The 6,818-nt window shown below is 38.7% G+C and overlaps 1 pseudogene; it reads right to left on the bottom strand.

Annotated features, from left to right (window-relative positions):
* Window positions 3,474-5,724, bottom strand: RLIMP3 (ring finger protein, LIM domain interacting pseudogene 3; annotated as a pseudogene).
* Window positions 5,725-6,818: the final 1,094 nt, after the last annotated feature.

The following is a 6,818-nucleotide window of genomic DNA, read 5'->3' as shown; positions in this document are numbered from 1 at the left end:
TGAGGCTTATCAAGGAAAAATGTAGTCCCAAGCTATACCCTTACTCATGTCTCAGTATTGTTTCTTAGCTTTCTCTTCTGAAATCTATCTTCATATTTGTAACTATTGTGTCTATACTCATCTTTATATTTACCTATTTTAGATATAATCTCTTGCCATCATGTTATTGCAGATGAGAATTTTTCTGTTCTCCCTACTTCTCTTCCATACCTTACACCCTTTTATTCCAATTTATCCATGTAATAATTGGTATTATCAATTTAATAGCACCATGTTTGTTAAATAAATATTTTACATTTGTGTTATAATGTCTATGTAAATATTCTTCACTATTAGGCAGGGAGAGTACTAAAATAGTTTCTTTTTATACAAATTTTGTTTTTCTTTATTATTACTTCATTCTTTTATTTGCTTAGTTTTCTATGTACCAGTATAAAATAGATGCATAATTTTCTCTAAATATAATGACAGATATGGAAAAAAAACCTCATTTTCATTCTATTTTTCACATAGCCAGATGCATTAGTTTGTTTGTTTGTTTACACAGGTCTCCATCCAGGAGTTCTTTTGTTTTAATCTTGACTGGTTTTCTTTTATCTTATTTTTTTTAAAAAAAAGGTAAAATGTGTTACATTAGCGCCATAAAAGTGAAATCTGCTTATATTAAAAAAAAAAAATAAGTGAAGCTTTGTTTGGACATTATTCCCTTGCAAGAGCAGTACATATCCTTAGTAAACAACTACCATATTTACAAGTTAATTTCCGTGATACTTAGGTAGGATTGAAAGCCAGGAGAAATCATGAAAGAGTGAGCTTTGAAATAAGCTTTACAGCTAAGCTGATAACAGTGAAGGTAGCCAGACAATTCCTAAAGCAGACTTGCTTATTTTGTAGAGTATTTGACTATGTCTGGGTAGCTAGCTTGCTTTTATAAAGGCCAAGGACAAGTTCAATCCCTATTTTGGCCTGTTAAAGCTTTTCCCAGAAGAACAAATATCTGCTGCATAGTCATTCTAATCCTAACCCCAACTAGCCTCAAAAAAGAAATTAGGCAAGAGGACTGGGGTTATCATGAAATTACTCTTACTACTAAGAAACCAACATAAAGTTCATGTCCATAGATAGCGAATCAGCAGGTCTCATTTTCATATATGGGCAGCACAATTAAAATTGGAATTTCAAATAACCCAACATGACTCACTTTCGACAAAGGATAAAAATCCCTTAATCTTCAACTGGTCTTTAAATTCGAGATGTTAGGTCTGTGTTAGAGATAGTAATGAAATATTATCAAGTGTGCACTGGTACCTTAAATGTCAAATCTCAAAAACAACACAAATTCGAGACTTTCCTATTAACACACACATGTGTACCAACTGCAATTCATATGCTAAAAGTGGTTTTATGGTCTCTTTCGTCCATCTTTTCATTTTTGAGGAGCAGACTTGTAAAAACATCAATTTAACTTGTGCTAGGTGGTAGTGGTTTGTTTTTCTTAAACCAAAACTCTGCCAAACTTGCCGATCTTCTGCTTCATCTACTCAGGTAGAATACCAGGTCAAGCTGCTGCTGTGGCTGCTCTCATGATATGAAAGCAGTTTGTGTCTGCATTATTACTGTCTTCAGGAAAACTTTAAATTCTTCAGAGCAGTTTTCTTTACTCCTCCCATCTTTCATTTCCGCCTAAATCCAAGTTAAATTATGCAGTTTCCACTGGTCTTCAACACAGTTTGATTCTGCACTGTCGTTTCCTTTGCCTGTCACAGTAGCTGTTCACATACATTAAATCTTATAGATATGTTCTACTCTTGACATCTACACACTTACAAAAGCAGCTTTGTACTTTGTTTGGTGTGTTTGTTACTGTGTTGGTTCACAAAAAGCAGTTTTCTTAGTTCTAAGCATGGTACTTTACAATTTTTAATGCATTCATACAACAATCCATTGGACTTCTGCACAGCAAAAGAAACTACCATCAGTGAACAGGCAACCTACAAAATGGGAGAAAATTTTCGCAACCTTCTCATCTGACAAAGGGCTAATATCCAGAATCTACAATGAACTCAAACAAATTTACAAGAAAAAAACAAACAACCCCATCAAAAAGTGGGCGAAGGACATGAACAGACACTTCTCAAAAGAAGACATTTATGCAGCCAAAAAACACATGAAAAAATGCTCATCACTGGCCATCAGAGAAACACAAATCAAAACCACAATGAGCTACCATCTCACACCAGTTAGAATGGCAATCATTAAAAAGTCAGGAAACAACAGGTGCTGGAGAGGATGTGGAGAAATAGGAACACTTTTACACTGTTGGTGGGACTGTAAACTAGTTCAACCATTGTGGAAGTCAGTGTGGCGATTCCTCAGGGATCTAGAACTAGAAATACCATTTGACCCAGCCATCCCATTACTGGGTATATACCCAAAGGACTGTAAATCATGCTGCTATAAAGACACATGCACACATATGTTTATTGCGGCATTATTCACAATAGCAAAGACTTGGAACCAAGCCAAATGTCCAACAATGATAGACTGGATTAAGAAAATGTGGCACATATACACCATGGAATACTATGCAGCCATAAAAAATGATGAGTTCATGTCCTTTGTAGGGACATGGATGAAATTGGAAATCATCATTCTCAGTAAACTATCGCAAGAACAAAAAACCAAACACCGCATATTCTCACTCATAGGTGGGAATTGAACAATGAGAACACGTGGACACAGGAAGGGGAACATCACACTCTGGAGCCTGTTGTGGGGTGGGGGGAGGGGGAGGGATAGCACTGGGAGATATACCTAATGCTAGATGACGAGTTAGTGGGTGCAGCGCACCAGCATGGCACATGTATACATATGTAACTAACCTGCACATTGTGCACATGTACCCTAAAGCTTAAAGTATAATAATAGTAAAAAAAAAAAAATGCATTGGAAAAGTACTGAGCCTCTACAAAATAGCTTTACATTTTTAAACAAATGAATGTGATTTTTTTCACTTACACAGGTATAGGCTTTTTAATATTTCCACAAGATAAATACCTCAAACTATAAGCTCACTCTACAGTGTGCCACAGTGATGGGCTTAGGCGACAGTTATACACTTAGAAGATCCTAACCTTAGTGTTATTTACACTGACATGTCCAGTATTACAAAGTCTGAAAGGTGAACAAAAAATATTCAGAATGTGGCTGAATTTGTGTCAGCTAATAACTGGGAATGGTATAGCTTTAATCACTTATGAAACACATACTGTAACTTAGTCTAAACTGGTAATTTCCTTCACCCCTCTCTGTATGGCGTGAGAAAATTTAAAGATCAACATGAAACAGGAGCCATTGCTAAGGCAGATCTTTTAAGATAACAAAGGAAAAATTGACAAGTGTATATGATAAACTATCAGTAACAGTGATGCTACCAATTTAACTGGTATGGAAATCAGATTTTTATGTCCTAAAACGTGGCTTTTAAAATATTTCCTTTTATTCTGGAACAAAAACTGGAGAAAGGACAATGATTACCTCAGAAAGCAACGACTCAATTCAGGTTGTTACTTTACATTTAAGTACCACTCAAAAAGTGGACATAAAAGCAAGTGATTCCTGTTTGCCCATCACTATATCAGCTACATAGCTAAGAGTTCAGATCTTAATTACACAACACTTTCTCTGTTACCAGAAGCTAAGACTGCTCTGCGACAAATAGGACAGGTAGAATTCTCAGATAACCAGCGATCGATGCAGTCAGTGGACATGGTACTCATGGGAACAAGGTAGTTTACGAAGTTTGTTGCTTTCTGTATATTCTGTAATGCAAACACTACAGGTTTTTAATGCACCATTTTCACCAAAACTTCTCATTGCCAAGTTGTCAATCTGTTCTTTAGTGAGTCCTCTAGGTTGGTCATCATCATCCTCATTTAAGAGGAAAACTGAGCCAGGCTAGGAAGGGCAAAGAGCCACTTTAATGAAATATGACTGGGGCCGTATGTCGACCCTCTCGCCTGGCACCTGATGAGCCTGATGATAAGCTTCCTTCATTACTGCCTTCAAATAAATCTGAGCTAGTTTCTGAGCTTTCACCACCGGAACTGGAACTAGGACTGGAACTGGAACTGGAACTTGAACTGGAACTCGAACTGGAACCAGAACTATTACCACCACCAGAACCCCCTCTTCCACTCCGTGACTCTGCCCTTTCCATATTTTGATTTGGGACTGAGCCAGTAGGCTCTGAGTCGCTATCACTGTACATAAAATAGCTTAACTCACCAAAACCTGTCATTATCTGCCTTAACATCGTCTGAATTGCAACAGATGTAGTCTCACATAAACCAGTATTTAAGATTCTACAAATGGGGATTCTGGTGCTACTGACATAGGTTCTCACACCTGCCCACTCAGAACGTGAAAACGTACGCCTGAAACCTCCTCGCTCACTTTCATAGGTGATAGTGTTGTTTGGCCTCTGAGACCTAGACCGAGTTCTGCTGGCTATGCTATCTCTCTGCCGATATTCTCCAGGACTAACTCTTTTTACTTGAAGATCAAGGACTATGGTTAGAGGTCTCTGTGCTGATCCTGTAGATTCACCATTGGCCGCTGTGTCTGAAGAACCTGCTGCTTGAGAGGCATTTCTTTTTCCAGAAGCTGCAAAAAGACCTCTACTTAGCAACTCAGGCCCAGATATTTGCTGTCTCAATGTCACACAGGGCCGGGTTCTAGAACTTCCCTCCATCTCATTTACCAAAGGATGTTCAAAAGTCTGAGATGAGATACTATGATGAGATCTTCGTGGAATTTCACTCATTGGATGCAGAGGTGACCTACTTCTCTCAGCTCTTGCTCTGGCTCTCCCACGGTCTGGGCTCCTGCTTCTTGCCCTCCCCGACCTCTGGTAGGTGGGACTTCTGTTAATGCTTCAGTTGAATTTCGTTCTGATCTAGATGGCCTTGCAGATGTTGATTCAGATCGTGGGTTTTCCACTTGCCTTTGGCTGTTGTTTTCCACATTTTCTCCACTAGAACGTCTTGCAGATGGCTCATTTTCATTCTCTGAATTTTGGCTCCCATTATTACTGTTAACATTTATCTCTAAACTGAATCTGAAATTACCGCTGTTTGGATTAGTCCGGCTCACTGCTCTCCAAGATTGGTTTCCTCTTTGCCCACTTCTTGTTGTATTTCCAGTTTGTCTGACAGAGTTAAGCCAGTCTATTATAGAGTCACCATTAGACACATCATCTGAAGAGTCTCCTCCTCTATTTTCACCTGAGTTTTGCAGTGGTGGGCCTTCTTTAGTTTGCTGTAGTCTTCTCAGCAACTCTTCCTCAGTACTTTCACCTGGGGTGCCTAGCAAATTATTATCTCCATAAGCCTATAATCTTCTTCACTCAGGTTATTTACAAATGGATAGAAAGCTTCTTCCCGATCCAATCGGTCCATCTGACTTCTGCACTGTGCTGCAGACTGATCACCACTTCCTTTGTCATTAGAAACTGAGTTTTCCATATTAATGAACAAGTGGAAAATTACCAGGTTTGAGGGTCAGGGTCCGACTCGGTTGGTTCGGCCGCTGCCTCCGAAGCTGCTCCGCACCTCCCTGGCCGCAGCTCTCAAGCCCGCCTCCAATAAGTAGCTGGTTGAGACCCGCCTCTAGCCTAGCGCCTGCTTGGAGACGTTGCTCAGGCAGCCATTATCTTCCCCATTGTTACCAAGCAGCGACAGGAAAACTCTTGACTGGTTTTCTTTAGGCATTTCCCATGAACAGGCATTTTCTATGTCTCTGAGTATTTTCTCTAGGATTTCCTGTGCTGGAACCATTCTCACACCTTCCTCTGTCTTGGTGTAACCTCTTATTGTGATGAAGAATATCCTCCAGTATTATGTGGCTAAAACACCTTTATTCTATAGTATCTACTTCAAGCTTCATAGTCATGAATAGAAGATAACTTTCCCTCAGAATTTCTAATGCATTGCTTCACTGTTTTCTGGCTTTTAAAGTTTTGTGCCTTTCTTATTCACAATCTTTGACTGTTGCCTGTTTTGGTTGTTGCTATTGTTCATTTGTTTAATTTATTTTTGAAATTTAAGCATTGAAAATTTCACTACGTTCCTTCATGAATCCTTTTTCCCATTTTCATTCAAAATTGTAGGTAACACAATAGACTCTTTCATTCTGGAAATTTGTGTCTGTCTATGGACTAAAAATAAAAAATTTGACCTGGTGCAGTGGCTCACATCTGTAATCCCAGCACTTCAAGAGGCTGAGGCAGGAGGATCGCTTGAGCCCAGGAGTTCAAGACCAGCCTGGGCAACATAATGAGACTCTGTCTCTATGAAAAATAGAAAGGAACATAGCTGGGTATGGTGGCATGCACCTGTAGTCCTCGTTACTTGGAGGCTGAGACAGGAAGATCACTTGAGCCCAGGAGTTCGAGGCTGCAGTGAGTTGTGATTGTACCACTGCACTCTAGCTTGGGTGACAGAATGAGGCCATGTGTCTAAAAAAATAAAAAATAAAAATTCTACATTGTCATTTTCTCTTTCTAAAATTCCTATTAGTCTTATGTTGGACCTCCCAGGTGATTCTTTAATTTTTTTAAAATGTTTTCTTTTCTTTTTTCTATCTCAGCTTTTTAAAATCCTGCTTTCTGGAAAATATCCTCAACTTCACATTCCGATACTTTATTGAGTTTTTCTTTTTTGTCCAAACTTTATTTTTCCTAAAAATTCTTTTATGTACTCTGATTTATCCTTGTTTTCTTTTTTTATTTAGCAAGTGATTTTTTGTTCTTTAGCCAC

The sequence above is a fragment of the Homo sapiens genome, chromosome 15 (assembly GCF_000001405.40).
Source record: "Homo sapiens chromosome 15, GRCh38.p14 Primary Assembly".
Classification (NCBI taxonomy): domain Eukaryota; kingdom Metazoa; phylum Chordata; class Mammalia; order Primates; family Hominidae; genus Homo; species Homo sapiens.
This window is presented reverse-complemented; position numbering and strand designations above follow the sequence as displayed.